Below are 25,900 nucleotides of genomic sequence, written 5' to 3'. Positions count from 1 at the left end.
TGGAGCTCTTTTAAGAAGTCACAAGGCTAGACAAAATAAAGTCAGAATACTTAATGCTTTGCTGTTTTTTGTTTTGTTTCGTTTTATAGGCACTGACAATAGAGCTGGCCTTGAGCAAGTCTCATATTGAGCAACCAGAAAAACAAAACTCAAAAAAAGGAACTGTATACAATTATTTTAACTTCCTTAAAAGATAAGGCTAACTCTAGTAGAAGGGCTTAATAAAAGTATAGCTCTCAAGCTGTAAAGAAAATACAATCCCGAGTAGCTGGGATTATAGGCACCTGCCTCCATGCCAGGCTAATTTTTGTATTTTTAGTAGAGACAGGGTTTCACCATGTTGGGCAGGCTGGTCTCAAACTCCTGACCTCAGGTGATCCACCCGCCTCAGCCTCCCAAAGTACTGGGATTACAGGCATGAGCCACTGCACCCGGCCTCAACTGAGTTGTTTTAACGATTAAGTAACATCAATATGTATTCATTATCATTTGTTTTTAATAATAAACATTACTATTATTATCTACTTCTGTTGTGACTGGTGACAGCTCCTTCTGCCGGTAAAAAAAATCTCAGTCTGAGATGTGGGAATTCAATTATTATATGACTTAAGGTGATAAAATTATGTACCTACCAAGGGAAAAATGATATACTGCAGTTCTGCTCCCTCATAAATACCAAAATAAAAGCAGAAAAAATTTAAGTAACAAATTAAAATTGGAAGATTTTCAGACATTAGACTGTTATTTACTCAACAAACATTAATCAGCAGCCACTGTCAGACAGAAGTGAATACTTCCTTTGCCCTCTGAAGGTTTGTTGAGAACTACTGAAAAGAGGCAGATAAATAGAAGAAAAGGCATACAAATTTATTTGATCATAGTTTTACGTGACATGAAAGCCTTCAGAATGAAGAACCAAAAATACAGGGGAAGCTGTCCTTTTTTACGCTTAGGTTCAACAAAGTATGGACAGCCGTAACGTGATTGGACAAAAAGGGAATGATCTAATGTTAATAGACTGAGTGGGGAAACCATGCAAGACCTGTCTCATTCTTCTGTGTTTGTGTGCCTCTCTGAGTATGTACTCCTTACTTTTGGGTATGGAGAAGGATTCTAAAATAGGGATCTTATGAACTATGGTCAAACGAAGTAGGTCAGGTAATTTTTTTATGACTGGTGTTACACAAAAAAAAGGAAGAAGGAAAAGTTAGAATAATATTCTTAGGCTTTATGACTGACTTTTTAAAACGGGTTCTGCATTGTGGAAGACAGTGTGGCAATTCCTCAAAGACCTAGAGGCAGAAATATCATTCAACCAGAAATCCCATTACTGGGTATATACCCTAAGGAATATAAATGGTTCTATTACAAAGATACATGTATGTGTATGTTCACTGCAGCACTATTCACAATAGCAAAGACATGGAATCCACCTAAATGCCCATCAATGGCAGACTAGATAATGTAGTACATATACACTATGGAATACTATGCAGCCATGAAAAGGAATGAGATTAGCCAGGCACGGTGGCTCATGCCTGTAATTCCAGCACTTTGGGAGGCCAAGGTGGGTGGATCACCTGAGGTTGGGAGTTCAAGACCAGCCTGGCCAAAACAGTGAAACCCTGTCTCTACTAAAAATACAAAAATTAGCTGGGTGTGGTGGCGCATACCTGTAATCCTAGCTACTCGGGAAGCTGAGGCAGGAGAATCACTTGAACCCAGGAGGCAGAGGTTGCAGTGAGCAAAGATTGCGCCACTGCATTCTAGCCTCGACTACAGAGCGAGACTCCATCTCAAAAATAAAAAATAAAAAAATTAAAAAAAAAATAAAAGGAACAATATCATGTCCTTTGCAGGGACATGGATGGAGCTGTAAGCCATTATTCTCAGCAAACTAAAGCAAGAACAAAAAACCAAATACCATTGTGTTCTCACTTCTAAGTGGGAGCTGAATGATGAGAACACATGGACTCATCGAGGGAAACACCACACAATGGGGCCTACTGGAGGGTGGGGGATGACAGCAGGGAGAGCATCAGGAAGAATAGCTAATGGATGCTGGGCTTAATACCCAGGTGATGGGATGATCTGCGCAGCAAACCACCATGGCACATGTTTACCTATGTAACAAACCTGCACATCTTGCACACGCACCCCAGAACTTGAAAGTTGGAAATTTTTAAAAAAGGGGAAAAAATTAAAATTACATTAAATAATTCTAGCCTATACGCAAAAAAAACAAGATACTTATATAATTAAAAATACATTTGCAAAAAGGCAGTGAATGGGCTGCACAATGAAATATATACATCTGAAGTTAGTGAGCCGAAAGAAAAATAAAGGCAATCTCCCAAAACAGAGAAAATTTAAAGAAATAGGAAATACGAAGGTAAGTTTAAAGACATAGAAAACAGTCCAGGTGATCCAACTATGTTCATAAAGTGTTTAAGAAAGATGTTGTAGGAACTATGCAGAAGAGGGGTCAGGGAGAAAAAGAAAGAGAGAAACAGGAAAGAAGGAAGGAAGGAAAGAATATAATAGAAATATAAACCTTGTCAATGTAAAAACAATACAATGCAATAAATAAAGTCCGTGCAAGGGAAGTGAGAAGTGGAAGTGTACTGAAACTCTCATTTTTGTGCAGAGTTAATAGATGCTATGGCTCTACAAATCAAAACATAGTCGTAAAGGAAACTACCAGAAAAAAACTAAAAATAATAATGTAACTAACACATTTAGGAAATGAAGAAGGGAAAACAGAAGTTGGTTAAATGTCTTTTGTAAGTCACCTATAAATCACTAGGTTAATGCATATGGTCTAAAGTTGATAAATCAAAAATTTAAAATTATAATGTCAATTCCAGAAATAATAAAGGGCAATGTGACTACTTCTGGGGAGTAGGACTAATTGAAGAGAAAGTACTAAGGAAGTGGTCTTTACTTCTAATTTTATACATTTCAGTATCTTTTGATTTATCCGTGCATATGTACACATGGATTATTTTCAAAAATTTTTTAAAAGTTAAGCAATGTAAGCGCCTATTAATACTGTCTTTGATGCCTCTAAAAGATTATATAACAAAGCACTTGGCGAAGTCTAGGTCCTTCCAGAATTGACTTCACCAAGTGCTAACATTAATGTGCTAGCTTTTATCAAAGATTGCTTTGAAAAACAACCATAAAGAATATTTTCTTGTTTACTGTAAAACTTGTTGAGGACATTGTTTATGCATGAGTCATCGTTCATTGTACAGGGGGGTCCTTGAGTGAATCTCTGTCAAGGTCAGTGCTAAATAAAGCTTGCTTCTGCTGGGGAAGAAAGAAAAGGGGGGTGGTGGTTCTGGTTCCTATGACCCACTTTTAAAAAGATGGATTCTAGTTTATATGGCTAGCCTTGGAGGAAAAATAAAACTGAGAGACAAGAGGACAAAAAAAGGTTAAAAAATAAAACAGTCCTTTTGTTTCTGAGACTACTTCTAAGACCTTCATTGTAGAGTATTGTTTTCTGAGTCTCAACACTGCTATGTGCAAGCTACTTTCTTCAGGACTAAAGGGCTAAAGGGGTAAATGATGAAGATTAAAAATATAGTCCTTTCCTTCAAAGATTTTAAGCATTAAGCCTAGAAGAGAAAATGAAGTAGGATACAAACAACTACAGTACAATGCAATATATAATAAATGTCATGAGATAGAAAATATTCTTAAGTTTTGAGGAGAGACTGAACATGAGTAGGGGAAAATAAGGAAAAAAATAAATATGCAAAATTTGAATTTGGCCTTGAAGTATTCCAGCTGACAGAATGTAGTAAAAATACAGGTGAGGAAAAATCACTAATCATAGTATGCCTGAAAAAATAAGCTGCTTACATGAGTAAGACTTAAGAATGAAAAGCATTTTGGGGCTACAACAATGACAGCTTGGATTGCCTAGCTAAGGAATTAGGACTATATCCCACAGGCATTAAGGAGTCACTGAATGCTAAGGACAAATTCTGAATCTAGCAATTGTACATAGTTTAAATAACAGCAGAACAAGGCAAAAGAGGTGGAGGTAAAATATCAAGATATTATAATCATCCAAATGATAATGAAGGCCCACACTTAAACAATGGCAAAGTAATGAATGAACTCAAGATACAGAAGTAGAAGAAACAACTGAAGAGACTGAAGCAACAGTCAAATAAAAGTAACTAGCAGATTTCTAGCAGCCAGGGGAAGAATAGCTTTTGGAAATTTAGAGAAGTCAGGTCTGGCAGATTGGTCATATAATGTTTTTTAAAATCTGTTCATTTATTTATTCAAGCATTTATTAAGCATAACCTATATGTCAGTTGCTAGCGACATAAAGAGGAGTAAGACCTAGTTCCTGTCTTGAAAGTAGTAGAGACATGTAACAATTACCATATTAAGTGATATATTATTCAATAACAGGAGCTGTAAAATCAGAGACTAATTTGCAAATGTATCAAAATGCTTCATGACCAATTCCCTAAATTTATTAATCAAAAATATATCTTAAGTAAAACTTTTATTAGATATAAATATATTCATATAGTCAATGAATATGATTTTCTTATCAGAATTTTAAGGATTGTCCAATTTGTCAAATGCTGTTCAGACAGACAAGCAATATTAGTATTCTTAAAACCAGAATCAGCATATGCAAAGATAGGGAGTGTGGTTCAAAGAAATGTAAATAGTTTTAATATTCCAGAGTGTAAGATAAATAGGGAGAAAAATCAGAAAAAATGGGGGTCAGATGATGAAAAGTATAAATATATTTTATTCTATAATCGATGGAAAGTAACTGAAACATTTAAGCAGGAGAATCCCTAGAATTCTCAACCTAGAATCCCTTTTCAGAAAATAGTCTGTCCCAACCTCACAAGAGGTTTCTTGAAGCCATATTGATACTAGAGAATCTCATCCCTCCACTGCCATAGTTAGCTGGATCAGGGACACATGTTCCACTGACTAAGGCCACTCAGATTTTCTCATCTAAGAATTTAGAATTGTGACATATAGCAACTCAGTCAGTCAGCTGTGGTCTATGTGCAATGAACTTGTAGTTAATGTAAATTTAGAAGTTAGGAGTGCAACTTGGAGACCACAGGCAAGGAGAGCAAAGAGAACCAGTATACAGAGACATAAAGCAGTACACATACTTAAAGAAAAGAGAACATGTAGCCCTAGAAAGAAAACATCCAGTTTCCTGTTTAGTACTCATGGGATCTGGCTATACATCTTACCCTTAAGTGATACAACCCCATAGCTTTTCAAAAAATCCAATTTCTGCTTAAGCTAATTTAAGTGGGTTTCTATTTTCTGCAACTGTTACTAAACAAGGTTTTGGCGGTTAATCAGATTCCGGTGGTTAATCTGAAGGATAAATTAATGGGAAAATAGGCTACAAATAGGTGGAACATTTAAGGTAGAAAAGGAGTTACCAAACAAAAGCAGTAGTAACAAACAGAGGCAGGTATGATGAAAGAAAAGTAACCAATATAGTGCAGGGTCCTCAAAGCTTAATTAACAATAGTTTCAGGAAGCTGGAGCAGTATCAATTGCGTCTAAAGACTAGAAGCAACAGAATGTCATGATACCTTTAAGAAAACCACTTCAACAGAATAACTGAGACAGAAGTCATATATGAGTAAGCTAAATAAACGGTAGACAAGGCATCTAAGAAATTTCTTTAAAAAAGAAAGAAATTTGAGGGTACAACAGTATTAAAGAGTATAATAAAAACATGAGAGACGTTAACTTATTTTTAAGCCAAGAGCCAGTGGATAATGCAAAGCCCCACCCTGCAAAAGAGTAAAACATGATATTCCAGAGGAAGCAAAAGCCCAGGAAAGTATAACCTTACCAAGAAGAAGCAATTTTTCCTTAAAATTCAGTAGAAATAAAAAGGATGGCTAACATTCCAAGAAATCTGAAAGTAAAGACAAGAAAACTTGAGGAAACTCACGTGGTTGAACAGCACGTATCACTACATAGAGATGAGTGATATGCTGAGAACAAAAGAGCAGGAGTAGGTTGGATGACAGAAAACAACATAAAAAGTTTGAGCCACAACTGGGGAATGGGATGGGTGTCAATAAGAGTTAAGACAAGGATGACCTTTACTAACCCAAAGCTTCAGGAGATAAAAAAACAAAAGAACCACAAATTGATATAATAAGGAAAAAGTGAGGTATTACTGAGCTAGGTAAGGATAAGTTCAGGTATAGTTCAATACATAACCTAGCATGATGTAACTCTAACTGGCAAGAATTTATCAAATTTGATTAATCAAATGATTAATTTTAATTAATTTTAATTAATCATATTTGATTAATTTTTGCAAGTTAGAGTTAGGCTAATAAAGCTATGTGTAGATGTTTCTATCCTAAAAGCTGAAAAGTGCTCTATTTTAAATTTGCATTATAAAGACGTCTGACAGACATTTCAAAATTTTTTTTTTTTTGAGATGGAGTCTCGCTCTGTCGCCCAGGCTGGAGTGCAGTGGCGCAATCTCGGCTCACTGCAAGCTCTGCCTCCCGGGTTCACGCCATTCTCCTGCCTCAGCCTCCAGAATAGCTGGGACTACAGGCGCCCGCCACCACGCCCGGCTAATTTTTTGTATTTTTAGTACAGACGGGGTTTCACTGTGATCTCTCGATCTCCTGACCTCATGATCTGCCCGCCTTGGCCTTCAAAATGTTTTTAAACATTAAAATAACTCAGACCTATCTCCATATTCAAAAATCAATGCTATTAAATAAACAGAAATGAGATACCATGATACACTTATTAGAATGACCAAAATCCAGAAAACTGACAACACCAAATACTGGAGATGGTGTGGAACAACAAAAACTCTTATTGTTGGTAGGAATACAAAATAGTTCGGGCACTCTGGAGGGCAGTTTGGGAGTTTCTTACAAATCTAAATATATTCTTACCATACAATTGGACACCCTGGTATTTAACCAAAGGAGTTGAAAAGTTGCATCCACACAAAAACTTGCATAGGATGTCTATAGCATTTTATTCATAACTGCCAAAACAGAAGCAACCAAGATGTCCTTCAGTAGGTGAATGAATAAACTAAGGTACATACAGACAATGGGATATTATTCAGTACTAAAAAGAAATAAGCTATCAAGCTATGAAAAGACATGGAGGAAAATTAAATGCTTATTTCTAAGTGAAAGAAACCCATGTAAAATGGCTACACACTGTATGATTCCAACCGCATGAGATTTTCCCAAACGCACAACTATGGAAACTGTAAAAAGATCAGTGGTTGCCAGGGGATGGAGGAGAGGGAAGGATGAATAGGTAGAACACAGAGAATAAGCTTAGTGCAGGGACACTATTCTGTATACTATAATGCTGGATACATGTCATTATACATTTGTACAAACCCATAGAATGCACAACACCAAGATGTGTGCACTCTGGGCTCTGGATGATGATGATGTGTCAATATAGGTTCATCAACTGCAACAAATGTACTCTTGTGGAGGATGTCGATAATGCATATGTACATATGTAGGGACGCAGTTATTTGAGAAATCTCTAGACCTTCCTCTCGATTTTGCTGTGGACCTAAAACTGCTTTAAAATATGAAGTCTATTAAAAAACAACAAATCCAGATAAACTGACTTAAATCTAAAAAATAAAACTGCAAGATTCTTAGGAGCAAACTTGGGTAGCTATCTTTTAAACCCAGGATAGGGAATAATTTATTTAAAAGGGCATGAAAAGCAATTACAGTAAGTCCTCACTTAACACTGCTGATAGGTTCTTGGAACTGAGACTTTAAGAAAAACAATGTGCTTCAGGTCCTTTAATAATGCTGTTTCGCTCAATATCATTTCTTTTCTTTCTTTTTTTGAGACAGGGTCTCACTATGCTGCCCAGGTTAGAGTGCAATGACACGATTCCAGCTCACTGCAGCCTTAACTCTTGGGCTCAAGTCATTCTCTCACCTCCACCTCCAAAGTAGCTGGGACTACAGGTGTGCATCACCACTTCTGGCTAATGTTTCATTGTTTATAATATCATTTCCTTAGAACACTGATGAGAAAAAAGAAACTGGTTTCATTATAAGTTATTTTGCTTAAAGTCAGTTTCCAAGAACCCGTCAATGACATTAAGTGAGGACTTACTGTATGATAAACAATGGACAAATTTGACTTAAGAATTTTTTTTATCAAAAGATGCACAGCAATGACAAAAACTGTATTTAGGATTCCGAGTTTGTAAACTTCTGAACTAGTAAACTGTTCAGAAGATTAATATTTTGCTTTATATCCAGTATTAAATCTGATCAACTCCAGCATTTTAATGGCAAGCTATGAAAATACCTAAATAACTGACTCACATAATCTTACGGAATATACTGCCCTTTAAACAAAAGAATAAAATATTATTAATGACTAATAATAAGTAGTTTGCAACAGAGAGGTATGGAATTGGAAAATAAGCAACTGATGAAGTGTATGTATAATTTTTGCTATTTCTTTGCTTCTGAATTTACTCATTAACTAAATCAACCTAGCATTTGGGTGCCTAGCATGTGTGAAGCAATACAATATTTTATACAACTTCCTATGGCTGTTCATTTGGATAGTTTACAAATCCCCAGGCCATAAACTATTAATATAACTTTACCCTTTCTATACCAAATGTACAATAGATATTAAATACAAGCCTGTTGATGATAACGATGTAAATTATTCCAAATATTTGCCAAAGAAGGTAGAGGCATTTAAAACTGTCCCTCCCACACAACTCCATAAAAGAAAGCGAAAAAGTTAGGAACTGAAAGAAGACATTCACAATGTACACAGAGGATTAACATAAGCAATATAAAGAACTCTTATAAACTAGTAAGAAAAACAAAAATAGGCAAGAGACATAAATAGGAATTTCACTGAAGAAGCCACGTAAAAAGGCCGACAAACATAAAAAGAAGTGTTCTACATCAGTGATAACCAGGAAAATGCGCATCAAGACCACAATAAGGCAACATTTTACACCCTTATGATTTGTAAAACTTAAAAAGAGAATATCAAGTGTTGGAGAGGATGGATAACCAAAGGATCTTTTATTTCATATATTGCTAATATGAATATAAATTGGTGCAACCATATTGAAAGTTCTGCATCATCTCTTAAGTTGAACATTCACCTACCCTGTGAGGCAGCAATGCTACCTCTAGGTATATAATAGGAACTGTGGCACATGCACAGTAGGAAACATGCAGACTGTCCATAGGATCTTTGCTTATAATTACAAACAAAACAAAACAAAAAATGGAAAATAACTGCCCAACAAGGGAGAGTGGATAAATATCCAAATATCCACCAAAGTAGAGTTAATGAATATTTTACTCAATGAAATATTATATAGCAATTTAAATAATGACTATAGCAACATGCAAAAATGTGGATAAATCTTATTTATAACAGGTGAAAAATCAAGTTCAAAAAGATTATATTCACAATTCTATACAAACAACTAAAAGATGTTTAGATTTATATGTCCAACTAAACTATACACAGTAGTCTCCTTTTATCCACCGAGAGACCTTCAGTAAATGCCTAAAACCACGAACAGTACTAAACTCTATTTACACTTTTCCTTTAACATACATACTTATGCTAAAGTTTAATTTATAAATTAGGCACAGTAAGCAATTAACAATAACTAATAATAAAATAGAACAATTATAACTATACTGTAATTACAGTTATGAGTGTGGTTTCTCTCAAAGTATCTTAGTACTTATAAATATCTTATAGTACTATACTGTACTCACCTATTTTTGGACCACAGTTGACCATGGGTAACTGAAACCGTGGATAAGGAGGGACTACTATATAAGGAAGAGAATGAACACAGGACTCAAAAATGATGACCTAGATGACAAGAAGGTGGAAATAGACGGATAGAATAGAGGAAAACTATACGTAGGTTAAAGTTCCTAGCTTGTTTTGAGAGAGGGGGAGTGGTGGTCCATGAGTACTTATTAAAATGATTGACAGACAGATAGGTGATTAATCCAATGCAGTGTGCCTGATGTTTAACAAATTTTTTAAAAATCCAAAAGTTGCATAAAATTTGTTCAATGAAAATTCTGAAATGGAGAACAAACACCTCCTTAAAGAATCCCTAAGGTAGCAACTACAGGGAAGGGAAAACAGTATGATTAATGTGTAAAATATATGATACTCAGGCCAGGCACAGACGCTCACATCTGTAATCCTAGCACTTTGGGAGGCCAAGGCAGGTGGACTGCTTGAGTCCAGCAGTTCAAAACCAACCCGGGCAACATGGCAAAACCCCGTCTCTCCAAAAAAATATAAAAATCAACCATGCATGATGGCTCACACCTATAGTACCAGCTACTTGGGAGGCTGAGATGGGCGAATCACTTGAGCCCAGGAGGCAGAGGCTGCAGTGAGCCGAGATCACGTCACTGCACTTCAAGCTGGGTGACAGAACGAGATCCTGTCTCAAAAATAAAAATAAAAATAAAATAAATAAAAAACTCTCAGCACATGTATTGTGTGGTATGTCTTCTATAATCAAAAATAAATTCCAAATTTTGTCATAACTACATTCCATTAAATTAAGGTACTTATGAGCCAGGGCAGTAAAACTTTCACCAATTTGATAAGTCACTGACAAATTTCTAAAAGAGATAAATCCTAACAATATTATGTAAGTCTTGTATATCCACTCATCTTTATGAGGCACTTCAACACTACCTTCACATTTAAGGTGTTTACTGTCATCAAGTACACTGTCCCATGCTTTCTTGATCTTCATTTTTTACAGGCAATATTTATGTATATAATGTTACACAAATTTCATTTTTGTGATTGCAAAAAAAAACCAAGTATGATAATAGAGCTAGTTTCAAACAAGATTTCATCAGATAAAATTAAGACAAGCTAGACATGCATCAAGATAAAGATTCTCTATTTCTGTTTCATTAAGGAATTACTTTTTCATTAGTATATTTTTCCCACTCTAAATTTTAAATCTTTTTAAAGCTTTTAACTAGTTTTCAACTTTGCTGTCAAGTTTGAACTCTGCTGTATATCAAAAGTTGATCATATTAAATGTCATATACTGTAGAGTAAAATTGGCTTTTGAAATAATATAGACATTTGACAATTATCAGCACAGTATATTTTATGAGGGAATAATGTAGAATTAACTGTTTTATTCAAATACCATTTATGGTATGAAAGTAACATTATTTTAGGTGATGTTTACAAACTACTACTTTATTTGTTTAAAAGTAAACATGCTTCTGATGAATGGCATGAAAATTTACCATTGCCAAATTCAAAAAGCAGAAATAAGAGAGCCCAAGGAATCAGATGCTAAGCTCTGGGATAAAGAGATGATGTCTAAAAGGTGCCCCTACTTGTCCCTATTTCAACACTATGTGAATGGTAGGAATTGCATGATACTAGACCTAATCTCTATTACACTAATGAGAGATGACAAAAAAATCCATTTTAGAGCCATCATTTAGTAACACTAGTTTTAACACAGACTTTTATCTTGGTAGTCAAGAAATATTTGGAAAGTTATTTAGTATGTTTAATTCAGCAAAGTATGCGCTGCAAATTACAAACATTGTGGTAGTCTATAAGAGCAGCAACAATCAAACCTAAGCCGGAAAAACACACTGTATTGCTATATTATTCAAAGAAATTGTTGCTATACTTCATTACTGTCTATTACTAAATCCATACTACTGCACTTTTCTTTGAGACAGGTTCTCACTCTGTCACCAAGGCTGGAGTGCAGTTGCGTGATCTCAGCTCACTGCAACCTCCGCCTCCTGAGTTCAAGCAATTCTTGTGCCTCAGCCTCCCAAGTAGTTGGGATTACAGGCACACATCACCACACCTGGCTAATTTTTGTATTTTTAGTAGAGACAGGGTTTCACCAAGTTGGCCAGGCTAGTCTCGAACTCCTGACCTCAGGTGATCCGCCTGTCTCAGCCTCCCAAAGCACTGGAATTACAGGTGTGAGCCACTATGCCCAGCCTGCACTTTTCTTCTTAATAAAGCCGTGACTCATAATTGAAATATTTTGAGATTAAAAAAGGCAATAAAAGCTAATTAGATCCACTCATCTAGAACCAGTGGCAAGAAAAAAGTTTTTAACCTACTGTGATTTCTATCTTAAAATTCTCTGAGCTTCATTTTTCTTCAAAATTCTAGTAAGTAAAATGAGATAAAGAAAAAAAAGAAAAAATGGACTCTACAGCCATGGGACTTTTAGGTGGAAAAAGTCTGTCAGTCTCTAAGTGACAGAACTATGAGCAACTTTTATTTTCTTTTGTGCTTTTCCACATTTTCTGGATTTTCTGTAATACATGTGCATTACATTTCTAATTTGAAAACAATGTAAAGTCTGTCTTAACTACCCTGTTTACCTTCTCATACCACCAACCCCCAAACCACCCTAAAATTTTAATCCTCCCAACTCAGACCTTCCACTTTCCAGTGTCACTGCAAAATTAGATGCCGTCTTCTCATTTTCCATTAAATGAGTAAACTACCAGTGTGCTATATGGAAGAATGATGTAACTACTATAGAAATCCCTTTTGTACTTTTAAAGAGAATATTTTTGGGAGAAGGGATTAGAAATGTAAATTAAAGAAAACTACGTAATTTCATATGTCAAAGATTATAATGAACTTCTCTTAAAATAACCTAGACATCCCTCCTCCTACGTGACAAATGGAGCATTCTCATCAATGTATTGCGCACCTACTAAGTGTCAAACACAGAGCTAGGTTACATGTGAGTATAAAATTTTAAAGCAAAGCACAGTCTACAGAGTAATGTTAAATCTTTTGGGAAGTTTTGGGCAAGCATGTGACACCTTTCATTAGAAACAGTAATTCTTAATGAAGAAACCCTGTAAAAAGATTATTTGTACTATTATTCTTTGTGAAATATTAGACTGTATCTACAATAATAAAACACTGCTAAATTATAGACTACCAAGTGGAATGTAGAAATCATTTTTCCTTGTTACAGACGGAGCTAACAAGTAGTGTAAAGTTAATGTTGGTTAATTACGTTTTTGGCCAATTTGTAGAAAGTTCATACAACTATAACATTAGATGCAAAACATTTATAGTTCCCCAGAACTGTGGCAATTTAAATAATGGTGTAGTGGCGCCGGGCATGGTGGCTCACACCTGTAATCCCAGCACTTTGGGAGGCCGAGGCAAGCGAATCACGAGGTCAGGAGTTCAAGACCAGCCTGGCCAACATAATGAAACCCCGTCTCTACTAAAAATACAAAAAATTAGCCGGGTGTGGTGGCAGGTGCCTGTAATCCCAGCTACTTGGGAGGCTGAGGCAGGAGAATCGCTTGAACCTGGGAGGTGGAGATTGCAGTGAGCAGAGATCACACCACTGCACTCTAGCCTGGGTGACAGTGCGAGACTCCGTCTCCAGAAAAAAAAAAAAGAATAGTGTAGTGGGAAACATACAGACCTGGGTTCAAACTCAGACACACAATGTAACCATGAGCAATTTCCTTAACATTCTTGAACTTGTTTCCTGATCCACAACATGGAAATAACACCTACCTTATTGGATTGTTGTGAAGATCAAATAAGGTGTATAGGACACTAAGTACAATGTCTGATATATAGCAAATAATTTTTAAAATGTTATTTGTAGTCTCTTATAATTATCTTCTAGTACAATTATCTATACTCTCTTCTGGAAAGCAAAAACCTATCTTGTCATCTTTATATCCTCCAATATAGCTTTGGTAGATACTACATAACTGTTTGGTGAAATTAACCCCTGTAATTTAAGGGTAACTATCTCAACTTTCCACTTGAGCAAGTTACCTCTATCTAAATAAAATCTGCTGAGAATGGAATTTAAGATTCCCAGACCAACACTTTATTGGGCATTTTGATGAAGAAAATGAATCTCCAATAATCAACAAGGTAGCTTTGTTAGTACACTGCTCAATATTTGGTCTGCATTCTACAAAATTACCATTGTAGCCAACACTTTCATTCTGAGATTCTTTACAGTTTTCATTAATCCAGGTTTCTTGGAAATAGACTTTAGTTTCTTTGGCATTGCAAAAATGTCTGTTTTCTGCTATACTTCAAATAAAAAAAGAGAATACAACACAACAAATTAGTTATGAGATAAAAATTAGAAATTGGCCATTTTAAACAGCCGATTTTTATTTTTACTACAGTAAATATTCTTCCTTATACCTTGAAACCTCTAGCCACCAAAGTTTACATAGTTTATTAATGCTTCCTTGTTGAATAAGCCTCCTGAATTACTAACAATACTTAAAAACATTACTCCATGCTATTACAGTAATTAACAAGACAGAATACTGTAGTTTCAGATTTTCTTACTTTGCCTTTCCATGACCAAAAGCCAATTCCAGCTCAAGCAGTGGAGTATTTCAAATTCTACAATTTGAAAAAATAATGAAAAGCTGGATATATTTCTAAATAAATATCAATTTTATTAAAGCCAGGTTGTAATATGTAACTTTCAGAGTAAACAAGTATTCCTGAGACAGGATACATAGCAAAGTAACAGTTTTAACCATTAAATACATCTTAAAACTGGCTACAAAACTTCTTAAATACTTAAAATCTGTATGGCAGAGAAGAATTAAGAACTTCATATTAAACAGTATTTCAGTCTAAATTCAAACAATTTAGAAGCTTTTTAAAAAAGTGAATCTTGAAACAAAAGTTTAATAAATACTTGGTTGCTGTACACTAAGTTTCAGGACCCAATGAAATAAAAAGTCTGAATAGATGGAAATATTTGGAGAAGCAAACTTTATGACTATTTATCTTTAAGTGTTGATATAAGTAATAGTCGCAAACATTTTAATAAACACGATAAAGTTTAAATGCAATAACTTTTATCAAAACTGGGAGTCAAATAAACCAAGAAAATGACTTGGATATATGACAACCTATAAGGTAACACTTAATAAAAACTATTCTTTTTCTGGAAGGGGTTATATTTCAGTTTATCTAGAAGCTTAACTTTAGGTATTCCTCTATTTTGGTCGTATTTCTAGGTCATCATATTTAAAATTTCTTCCTTCTTTGCTTGCTTCCTTGTTATTATCAAAATTGATCTTATTAATTAAAAGATCCTAAATGTTATTAATACACATGAAAATATATTTTCAGTTCCAGTGCCAAAGTAGGTGTCTTTTATGCCAACTTTCTATAACATACAAGTACCAATGCCAAATATATTGTAACTCTAACACTGCTCAATTCAAAAGAAAAGTGACCCTATCATCTTTCTCAATCAAAACCAAAGTATGTTTTTCATGGTTCAAGACCAGGCAATGTAAAGTATTTCTGACTTGCCTCACATCATCTTCATTTTAAAAGCTCATGTAAATTATTTACTATTAATAAAATAGTAAATTCCATTCATTTAGCAAATGTGGTATGCTGTAAGATCTGCTTATAAAAGGCTAACTGTAATTAAAATACTACATAGCAACATTTTCAATTATATGAAATTCAGCTTTGCATTACCAAAGGATTCTAAATGTGCAACACTGCATTGATATACATTGTTAAAGTCTCTATTTTTGTGGAGGAAATATCAACCATTATACCAAAGTTTTCAAGCTTACGTCTGACTGCACAAGAAACCAAACTTATAAAGAGATTTCTTAAAAAGTATATTTAAACAAGAAATTTAGATGCAGTTGCAATACTTAATTTTGACATCAACTCTTCAGAATTTCTTGATTTAGTCTTTTTTTTAAAAAAAATTAACTGTCCAACACACAAAAAGAAATGCAGGCATGCTATTTTTTTCTCCTAATTCCCATCTACAATCTTTGAGTAGCTAAAAGATAACTATATTAAAATAAAGCAAAATAACTTTTAAGTCAAAAAACAAACATCTCTGGAACACTCCCAAGTAATGAAAAACCCGACAGGGTAGCTTAAGTCCCCATGTACACCATAGAGATCTAAAGAAAATCGTGCCTACATTATCAAATATTTATCTGGAAATGGGAAATAACATTGCTACTCGACATGACTTAACTAAGCGATCTACTTTGCTCTCATCTTTTGCAGACATGTGGTGCCCAATGTTTTCCCTTAGTCGACTGCTTTCTCATTAGTAAACAACTTATTAGCTCTTTCTCTGGTGCTCAAATGAGAGGGAAAATGAAAGTCTGAAAAGCATCAGCATCTGAGCTCCCGGATCTGGGCAGGGGTAGCAGAGAAAGGCACCCTGTATTTATCACTCGGTTAAAAAAAAAAAAAGAAAGGAAAAGAAAAGAAAAAGATAACCCTCAAAATAGAGGAAAGAAACTCTGTCACCTGAAGAGGGCTGCTGAAGTGAAGCAAACATTTGGTGAGACTCGTTTTTTAAAAAAACTTGTCTAGGGGCTGGAAGTTATGGGGGCGCTCTTTGTGCGGAGTCTGAGGGGAGGGGGAGGGACAAGAAAACAGCTTGGGAGTCATTCAAAGGAGTTTAAGGAGCGGTGTACGGAGGAAAGGCGGGGCGGGGCCCGGCCGCGCGAAGGGAGGGGGCAACAGGGGCGTTCGCGGGTAGCTCTGACACCGAGGGAGGGGGCGACGGGCCGGCCTCTCCGGGGACCAGGCGAGAGCAGGCTCCCGCTGCAGCAGGGCTGCAGAGATGGGGTCCCCTCTGGTAGGCAGAATCAAACCAAAGCGGTGGCAGGCCAGGGCTTTGGCGGGGGAGAGGGTCCGGCTCCCCAGGGAAGCGGTTCCCCGAGGGAAGCATTTCCCGAGTGACATCCCGGAGTTTCCGCACTTAGCGGGCTAGGGGCGCGGCGGCCGCAGGGCTTTCCTCGGTCCCCGACGCCGCGCGGGGCTCTCTCCCTGTCTCCTCCGCCAGCGCCTCTCACCAGGGCCGCGGCCCTTACCTGCAGTTCCGTGAGCAGAATCTCCCCCCGTTCGGGGTTGGACGCCATTGCGCTCCGGTATGGACTCCGCACCTGGACGCGGCCGCCTCTGGCGAAGGGAGAAGGCGGGACGGGGCTCGGGGTGGGGGTGAGGAGAGGGGAGAGAAAGAAAAAAAAAAAAACAACTAGGGATTCATGGAGGCGCAGCCCCTGCTGGAGGCGCGGCTTATTCCGTCCGGTTCATCGAGAGCGGCGGGGAGCTAGGGCACTCGTAGCGGGCTTCCTCTCGCCGCCCTCACCGGACTGTTCGTCTAGTCGCTCCCTCTGGGCGACGCCAGGAGCCGCCTCAAGCCTCTCCGTGCGGGCGCTGCGGCCGCGGCTGCAGCTCCTCCTGTCGCACCATTTGGCTGTCACCGCGTCGCAAAAGCGGCCTCACTTGGCGGCTGCCAGCACACGTGACGGCGGCAGCCACTGCCCCTCATCGGGCAGGGAAGGTGGGGCGGAGGGGTTCCCTAGGGCGAACGCGGCGAGGGGGCGGGGCGTCTTCCGACCCGACTCCGCGGCGAGGGCAGCCATTGGACTCGGCTGGGGTGAAAATGAGGGGAAAGGACTGGGCTCGAGTCTCTGGGGAGGCGGGAAGAGGAAGAAAACACACGCCTACTTTCCTGCTGCGTTTAACGGCTTCACTGTGAACGCTAGAACTCGGGAGCCTGCTCGCTGTTGTTTTTTCGGGTTTCGTTTTTTTTTTCTTTCTTTTTTTTTTTTCCCAGTTCCACCTTGCCGAAACTTGGGCCTAACTTTAACAGGCCCTTTTCTAACCTCCATAACCCAAAGAGCTTCGGGACTCAGATCTTACAGATTATTCCTCTGCTCTCCCCTTGACCCCCACGTCAACCCAAACTAATAATCTTGCCTTTTGCTCACCCTCAAACCCAGCCCCCAGCGCGCCTTCTCGACCAGTTAAGGTGCACAGCTAGCTAAACGGGTATGGTCTGTACTTTTCATGAAATGTAAGCGGCTGGATCCCTGGCAACTTTTAATGTACGGCCTTTAAGATGTCTTTTTCTTGAGGTTGAACTACTGTTGCTTGTACTGGAGAACTGTACAGAGCTGAGAATTAGCTGGGTTTTTTTGGGTTGTTTTAACTTTATTTAAGGGAGGGGGAGGTGGGACGGGATTACCCTCGGGAAAGGAAAAAAGCCACCTTTCCTTGGCGTGGTAAGCATTAAAGCTAACCTGACTACTTAGTAAAATATAGCTAAGTAAAGTAAATCTAGGTGTTTGTTTTTAATGACACTATGGTATTAAGGAATTTCGAAGTCTCCTACAGGTAGCTTTTGTTTTTGTTTTGTCTGAGCAGTGAATGGATAGGTAAACGCGTAACTTTTGATTTTTTGAAGCTGCGGTACAATACCTTTGTTAAAACTACCTGGAGAGAGTGGTAAGGGTTATTTAGGTACGTTGCTACTTAGAAAGGGCATTCGTTGACATATTTCTTAGGAAGTGTAACATTATGTACTTCTCACACGCTCCATGTAACTCTGTTGGCCTGATGCCAGGACTTAACGTCTATCCTTTTGCCTTCTCAAGTCTCATACATCAATTCAGCAAACATGTATTGAAGATCTGGAGTTCTGTGGCCACAGTTTCTGAACTCTAACTTATCATATGTGTGATAAAGAATTTTTCTGGTGTGTACTTCACAAGTCTTACAACTATTTATGTGTCTAGTATATTGCCTTGGTTGAAGATGATAATTAAATACATGAAAGAACACTTGGAAAGGCCGGGATATGATTACCTTTACTGGTAACTAAAAGCCAGATGGTTTCCTAGGCTTTGGAGTTACAGAAAGGATTAGGAGTTCTTATCCGGCCAGGCGCAGTGGTTCACGCCTTTAATCCCAGCACTTTGGAAGGCCAAGGCTGGCCGATCATCTGAGGTCGGGAGTTCGAGACCAGCCTGGCCAACTTGGTGAAACTGTCTCTACTAAGAATACAAAAACTAGCTGGGCGTGGTGGTGTGCGCCTGTAATCCCAGCTACTCGGGAGGCTGAGGCAGGGGAATTGCTTGAACCCAGGAGGTAGAGGTTGCAGTAAGAGTGAGACACTGCCTCAAAAAAAAAAAAAAAAAGGTACTTATCCTTGGGGTGACTGGAGAATTCTTTGGGGAAGCCAACTTATGTCCGAACAACAATAATGCCATTTTAAGTAATAGATACAGTGTTAGGGGAGCACTGCATGCATTTGTGTGTGTGTGTGTATAATGTTTTATTATGGTAAAATGCATAATCAAATTTATTATAACCATAAGTGTACAATTCAGGGGCATTGAATGCACACAGATTTATTTATTTATTTATTTTTGAGACAGAGTCTCGCTGTGTCACCAGGCTGGAGTGCAGTGGTGCCATCTCAGCTCACTGCAACCTCCGCCTCCCAGGTTCAAGTGATTCTCCTGCCCCAGCCTCCTGAGTAGCTGGGACCACAGGCGCATGCCAACACTCCTGGCTAACTTTTGTATTTTTAGTAGAGACGGGTTTCACCATGTTGGCCAGGTTGGTATCGATCTTTTGACCTCGTGACCCTCCTGCCTCGGCCTCCCAGAGTGCTGGGATTACAGGTGTGAGCCACCGTGCCTGGCGTACAAATTTATTTTTGTCAAGGCTTACTGCAGAATGGATTTGAGATGGCTGACATGCACATAGAAGGTGATTAATAATGGTGGAACTAAGAGTTAACTGTGCAAGGGCTTAGAAATACAGTCAATGAGCAGTCTTTGTAAAAATTAATTTAGATATAAATGTTCACATTTCAGCATCATGTAATTTTAGAACTAGAAGTGACTTGAAATATCTAGCTTAACTCCTATTGTAGGTAGGAAAAAAAATTAATAGTTTCCTTAGCTAATTAGAAGCAAGACAGCAGTATTACTTAGTGGCAGAGATGGGGACTATTACCTAAGTCTCCTAATTGCCATCCATGCTTGTTTTAACCTTCACCATGCCACTATAATAACTTTAAATTGATATTAAACTGAAAGCATTAAATTTTTACCGTAGAAAAAGACTTTAAATGTTACACACTTCTAATGTTAAAAGTGTTAATAATTAAAAAAAATTTTTTTGAGACAGTCTCGCTCTTTTGCCCAGGCTTGACTGCAGTGGCATGATCATAGCTCACTGCAACCTCAAATTCCTGGGCACAAGGGATCCTCCTGACTCATCCTTCAAAACAGCTGGGACTATAGGTGCACACCACTGTTGATAAGGAATATTAATTTTACATTTCACATGTAAATTTAAGCAACAAATATACAAAGTTTTTAAAGTTAAGGAATTATTTCTGAGATTAGCTGTGCTAGGGAAAGTAGTACAAAAGGGAGGCCAACAATATTAAAACTACTTGATAATCTAAAATATGTGATGATTTAAACAGCAAATTAGTTTCATTTAAGCTAAAATTTACTACCCAGGTCACATTCTCTGTTCAGGGGGAAAAAAACGTAATAGGACATGGATCATACTTATCAGACTGAAGCACACTTGAAAAAGTTTTAATGGAAACATATCAGGTTGATTCAGATGGGTTGTATTGGGCCCCTATTTACAAATGTGTTTAGAGAATCTTAAATATAGTTCAGAAGTAATTTACATTAACAATAAAAAAAAAAGAAGAGTTTTTTTAGTGTCCATTTAAGAGGGCAAAGTCCTTAAAAATATCTGGATTGTATCACTAGTTATGCTGGTACCTTTTTAAATTTTTCATAAATATTTTAAAGGTCTTTAAGAAGTAGAAATGACCAAAAATCTAGAAATAAATAGAAAGTGTTATCTTTTTTTCTTAAAGATGGGATGTTACAGGAAAAATTCTAGAAAAGCTAACAACTTTTTTTTTTTTTCATTTTCTGTGCTTTTGAAACAGATATTCAGATAATATGGGCCCTCTTTTTCCTTAAATTTCAAGTGAAATGAGACAGGAACCATATGTCCAGGGAAAGGGCCAGAAATCTTTATTTTGTGAGTCACATTTTTATTGCCTTCCGTTGTTTATTTCCCTTTTGCTTGTCCTTAATATTTGTAAACTGTTCAATTCAAACGTGTCCCTACAGTATGATGGAGAATCAATACAAGAGTTTTGTTTTGTTTTGTTTTCCTTTCGTTGTTGTTGTTTTCCATGTTAGAAGAAAAAGCCCACCCCTACTTCCAAAAGATTAGAATGAAGTAGCAGTGGTAATCAAAGTAAGAGTGCCTAAGGAAAGGCAAAACTCCAGAGGTCAGAGTAAGAATTACTTGGTCACCACCCTCTTCTTCCTTAAGAAACCCCCTTGTAGAAATCATTCTCTTGTATGCGCTCTGAAGATAATTTTGAGCACAGGGTTCTTGATTAAGAACACAGAAGAGTAGTCAACTATAGTGACTACAGTAGCTGCTTTTTAGAATGTCAGCTCAGTCCACATCCACTTGACTGAAAATTCCTCCTATACACAGAGATATCTCTGAAGCCATGTTGACTCTGCTTAACATAGCTCTTCCAGTAAACTATGATTAGATCACTGATAGACCATATCCAGGTTTAGCCAATCAGATTTTCCCTCTAAGACTTTGGAAACAGATCATTGGAATGCTGATCAATTGGCAGTCTAGAGTGGCAAGGTGTTGTTCTATGGATTGGATAGCCATTTTCTGCCATGTGCACAACAATGCAGAAAAACTTCTCTTTGGAACGAGAAAAGAATTTAATTCTTCCTGTCACTGGGAATATAATGGTTACCAAAGCATACCTGGTCGCTTTTGTCATGGAACTTGTAGTTTGGTAAAACAGGTATAATGATAAGGTAAATTCATAGTACTTTAAACATAGGGCAGACAATCTTTTCCTAAGTACTTCACACTTAAGCTGAGTTCTCATAAGTGTGTAAATGTTAACTGAGGGGGAAAAGGTGTAAAGAGCCTTCCAGGGAGAGAGAATAACATAGATAAATAGTTATAATGTGGGAGGGGGAAACTTTATTGTAATTACTCTAAGGCTAAGTAGGCTATAGCAAAGAGATGGAATAAGTAAGAGTGTGTAGACCATATGTATCAGGATAGGCTAGGTTATGCTGAGTAACAAAATACTCCAAAAGCTTGCCAGTGGTCTACAGGAAGGTTTATTTACCTCCCATCCTACATGCTTAACATGGCTCTGCTCCATGACATCTTCACTCTGGACTGAGGCTGACTGAGCAATCTAAAATTGTCATTGTCATGGCGGAAGGAAAAGTGGTAAAGCATGGTTCTTAAAGTGTAGGCTCACATTTTTTTCTCTTTTCATCAGCCAAACATTTGCCATGCCTGAGAACAACAAGGGGGCACAGACAGCGGTACCACAATGAAGGGTACTGAATGTGGGTGAATAGTAATCCAGTTCTATGTTTTAAGATTTTGAAAGCCAGGCAGGGTGGCTTGTTCCTGTAATCCCAGCAACTCAGGAGGCTAAGGGAGGAGGATCGTTTGAGGCTTGGAGTTAGAGACCTGTCTTGTCAACACAGCAAGACCCTTTCTCAAAAAATAAAATTTAAAAAAGATTTTGATGTTTATCATAGCAGTAATGGAAATACCACTGAATAAATTTTTCACTTTAAACAAGTTACTCTGGCTGTAATGAGGAAAACAGTTTTGAAATGGCCAAGAGTCGATTTGGGGAGAAAAATTAGGGGACCATTTTAGTTTTCCAGGCAAAAAAAGGGTGGGTAGTACTTTAAAGTCGGGTCATGGCAGTAGAAATGGAGAGAAGCCAATAGATTTAATAGATAGGAGAATCTAGTCATGTTCAAAAAGAAGCAGAGGTGAGAGAATATGTGGTCCCAGGATGACAGAGGAAATATAGCAGGTTTGGTTCTCAATGTCTTAATAGTAGCTGACTCCAGTCTTCCAGGAAGTCCAGCTACTCTATTCTTTGTTCTTGGGTTCCTTGTATTCTCCTCATAAATTTCCCTTCCTGCTTAAGCTTGTGTGTGCGTGTGCGTATGTGTGTTTAAGCAAACAGCCATAACTAGGCTATTAAGCCAAGGAGATAACCATCAGAGAAAGCATCACACCACAGTTCTGCCTACAGGACACAAGTAACTAGGACCAGCAACACAGTTTAACTGGTGTTATCTCTTCTTCCAATGACTCCATCTCTACCCGTTCTGCTTATTGTTCCCAAAGGATCCTGACACCAGCAAATGTACAAATTATAAACAATGAGTACATATTAGATCTCATATGAACCTTCCCGTAGTACTTTGTTCATATATCTGTTAGGGCAATTTTTTGTATCATTGGATACAGTCTTGCTCTCACACTAAACTTTAAGTCGCTAGAAAAGGCCCATGTGTCTTAGATAGCCTAGTATAGTATCTCTTACGTAGCAGATATTTGTGTGTGTATATGTATGTGCAATTCTGTATGTATTACAGAAATTTAGGTTGTTAGCTAGGGACTCCATGGCCCTCAGAAAATTAGGTAAGCTTGCCTTGAAGGCCCAGTTTCATAGCCTCTAAAGTCAAGAGCCTCTTTTCACCTAGTCCAATTTTTGGACCCTGAAAGGTTATTCACAAATATTGTCCTCCTTCTCTCTTCCTCCACATGTATTCCCACAACACTCCTCTATCACCTTTGTTCTTTGACTATGCCTATATTGATAGGGATCAGAAGCCCAGCCCGTAACTTTTAACTACCAAAACCCTCTGTCTTCAAGCATTTCATGAATTCATTAACTTTGTACCAAACATTTAAGAGGGATCACATGACAGGATCTGATGCCTTTCACCCCAATGTTGGGTCTTTTGCTCTTTTTTCACCCTCAATACATTAACAAGCAAATCCTGCTCCTTTCCCTGCTACAGTTTGATCATACTCAGGTTTTTCTGATTCTCAGCTGTTATCCCAAATAAGATTATTTGGACATTTCTTCAAAATATAAACTGTTCTTTTGAAAGGGGTACCAGAAAATACCATTTTTTCTAACTTGGGACCTAATCAACTGAATGAATGCTAACTGCTTGAGTTGTATGTATTTGAAGTAATGAAAAGAAAGTGTGCTTTAATCACTATTGAGAAGTTGAACTTTTTATTCTTACCCTCAGTGTTATATATTGAATATTGTCCTCTACAAATTCATATATTGAAATCCTAACCTCCAATGTGATAATATTAGGAGGTGGGGGCCTTTGGGAAGTAATTAGGTCATGAGGGTGAAGACCCCATGGATGAGATTAGTGCCCTTATAAAAGACTCTCCAGAGAGCTCTCTTGCTCTCTTTCTGCCATGTGCAGATGCAATGAGAAGTCAGCAGTCTACAACCTGGAAGAGGGCCCTCACCAGAACCTGACCATGCTGCACCCTGATCTCAGACTTCTAGATCCGGAACTGTCTGAAATAAATTTGTTTTACTCGTAAGCCATTCTGTATGGTTTGTTACAGTAGCCCAAACAAAGACACTAAGGATCTCTTTATACTCTTTGAAAATTACTGAAGACCCTAAAGAGTTTTTATGTGGGCTATATATTGTGATGTTCACTGTATTTGAAGTTAAAACTGAAGAATTTAAAAAACCGGAATATACCAGCTCACATTTCATTAGCCATCAGAGTGATGGCCTCATTCTATGTCACACAACCTCTGAAAAATTCCACCCTACCCCTATGGGAGAATACAAGTGAAAAAGGCAAGTGATATCTTAATTTTTATTTATTTTTTTTGAGACAGAGTCTCGCTCTGTCGCCCAGGCTGGAGTGCAGTGGTGCAATCTCGGCTCACTGCAACCTCCACCTCCCGGGTTCAAGTGATTCTCCTGCTTCAGCCTCCCGAGTAGCTTGCTGTGTGGCAACACAGCAAGACCTTCTCTCAAAAAATAAAATTTAAAAAAGATTTTGATGTTTATCATAGCAGTAATGGAAATAAATTTTTCATTTTAAACAAGTCACTCTGGCTGTAATGAGGAAAACAGTTTTCCTTGGATGCCTGTGCCACCGCGTCCAGCTAGTTTTTGTATTTTTAGTAGAGACGGGGTTTCACCATGTTGGCCAGGCTGGTCTTGAACTGACCTCAGATGATCTGCCTACCTCAGGTGTTATGCCTGCCTCAGCCTTCCAAAGTGCTGGGATTACAGGCGTGAGCCTCCGCCCCCGACTGTCGACATCTAAATATTATTATGAAAATAGGTTTAACCTTAGAGACCTTCTGAAAAGGTTTCTTAGGGGTCCTCAGACCACACCTTGAGAGCTGCTGCTCTAATCTATAAGGCTGCCTCTGATGATTCTGGAATAGTAATATTTTTCTACTTGTAAATATGGGAACGTGTTCTCTGTGCTTCCAGAGTTTAAGATCTGTGGTGCCAAAATACAAGCTTCTGAAGATCTGTGGGCTGAAGTACAAGCTTCTTGGCCTTTCAAGTGAAATGTTGGTGCTATGTGTGGGAAAATTTGGCTGGCCATGTCAAAATGGAAAAGGAATATAAGTATGAAAAAATTTACATAATAAACATGACCATTTTACTACTAGTGCTTCCTTCATCAGAAACATCTTCTGCAACTTAAAATAGCAATAAAAGTCAATAGATACAAAAATATTGACCATACCAAACATTTTAAAGGGTTTGGTTGGGGGAGATGGACAACAGGGAGCTTGCTTTCCCTACCATCATTTCTTCAGCATCCAGCTATCATTCAATCATGTGTATGTACTATCTGAATTAGAGTAAAGCTAAACTTTTCTATCAAAGAGGACCCAAAACACTATGGCTTAAAGAACACTGAAATTTGCTTATTTCTCACACACAAAGACTGTACCAGGAACCCAGGTTTTTTCTATCTTGTTGCTGTGCACTTTCTAACTTATCATTCACCATGGCATTATTCTCAGCTGCATGGTTGAAGATGGGTCAAGGAACTCCATGATCTACCTCATGCGAAAGAAAAAGGAG

At 37.8% G+C, this 25,900-nt stretch overlaps 1 protein-coding gene and 1 long non-coding RNA gene across 7 annotated transcripts in view, besides 2 other annotated features; one reads left to right on the top strand and one right to left on the bottom strand.

Moving 5' to 3' along the window:
- The window catches only part of PKN2 (protein kinase N2), a 151,983-nt gene extending 134,657 nt beyond the window's left edge, over window positions 1–17,326 (bottom strand). For 5 of the 6 annotated variants that reach the window (NM_006256.4, NM_001320707.2, NM_001320709.2 and 2 more), the window contains exon 1: window positions 16,971–17,326. In NM_006256.4, coding sequence (NP_006247.1) covers window positions 16,971–17,018 — 48 coding nt within the window. In that variant the 5' untranslated portion in view covers window positions 17,019–17,326. Of the gene's footprint in view, window positions 1–9,818; window positions 9,876–16,970 lie in introns of all 6 variants that reach the window. The other variant, XM_047425224.1, reaches the window with a different exon arrangement.
- Window positions 16,395–25,900, top strand: part of PKN2-AS1 (PKN2 antisense RNA 1) — a 147,692-nt gene continuing 138,186 nt past the window's right edge. Inside the window, exon 1 of the long non-coding RNA NR_110682.1 lies at window positions 16,395–16,435. This is a non-coding gene — a long non-coding RNA (PKN2 antisense RNA 1). The remainder of the gene's footprint in view (window positions 16,436–25,900) is intronic.
- Window positions 17,052–17,131: an enhancer, noted in NCBI's record as "active region_1291". NCBI's record gives its function as "activates an Ori minimal core promoter by ATAC-STARR-seq in GM12878 lymphoblastoid cells {active_cell/tissue: GM12878}" and the evidence as "EXISTENCE:reporter gene assay evidence [ECO:0000049][PMID:35858748]".
- Window positions 17,162–17,491: an enhancer, noted in NCBI's record as "active region_1290". NCBI's record gives its function as "activates an Ori minimal core promoter by ATAC-STARR-seq in GM12878 lymphoblastoid cells {active_cell/tissue: GM12878}" and the evidence as "EXISTENCE:reporter gene assay evidence [ECO:0000049][PMID:35858748]".

This window comes from Homo sapiens, chromosome 1 (assembly GCF_000001405.40).
Source record: "Homo sapiens chromosome 1, GRCh38.p14 Primary Assembly".
In the NCBI taxonomy this organism is placed as follows: Eukaryota; Metazoa; Chordata; class Mammalia; order Primates; family Hominidae; genus Homo; species Homo sapiens.
This window is presented reverse-complemented; position numbering and strand designations above follow the sequence as displayed.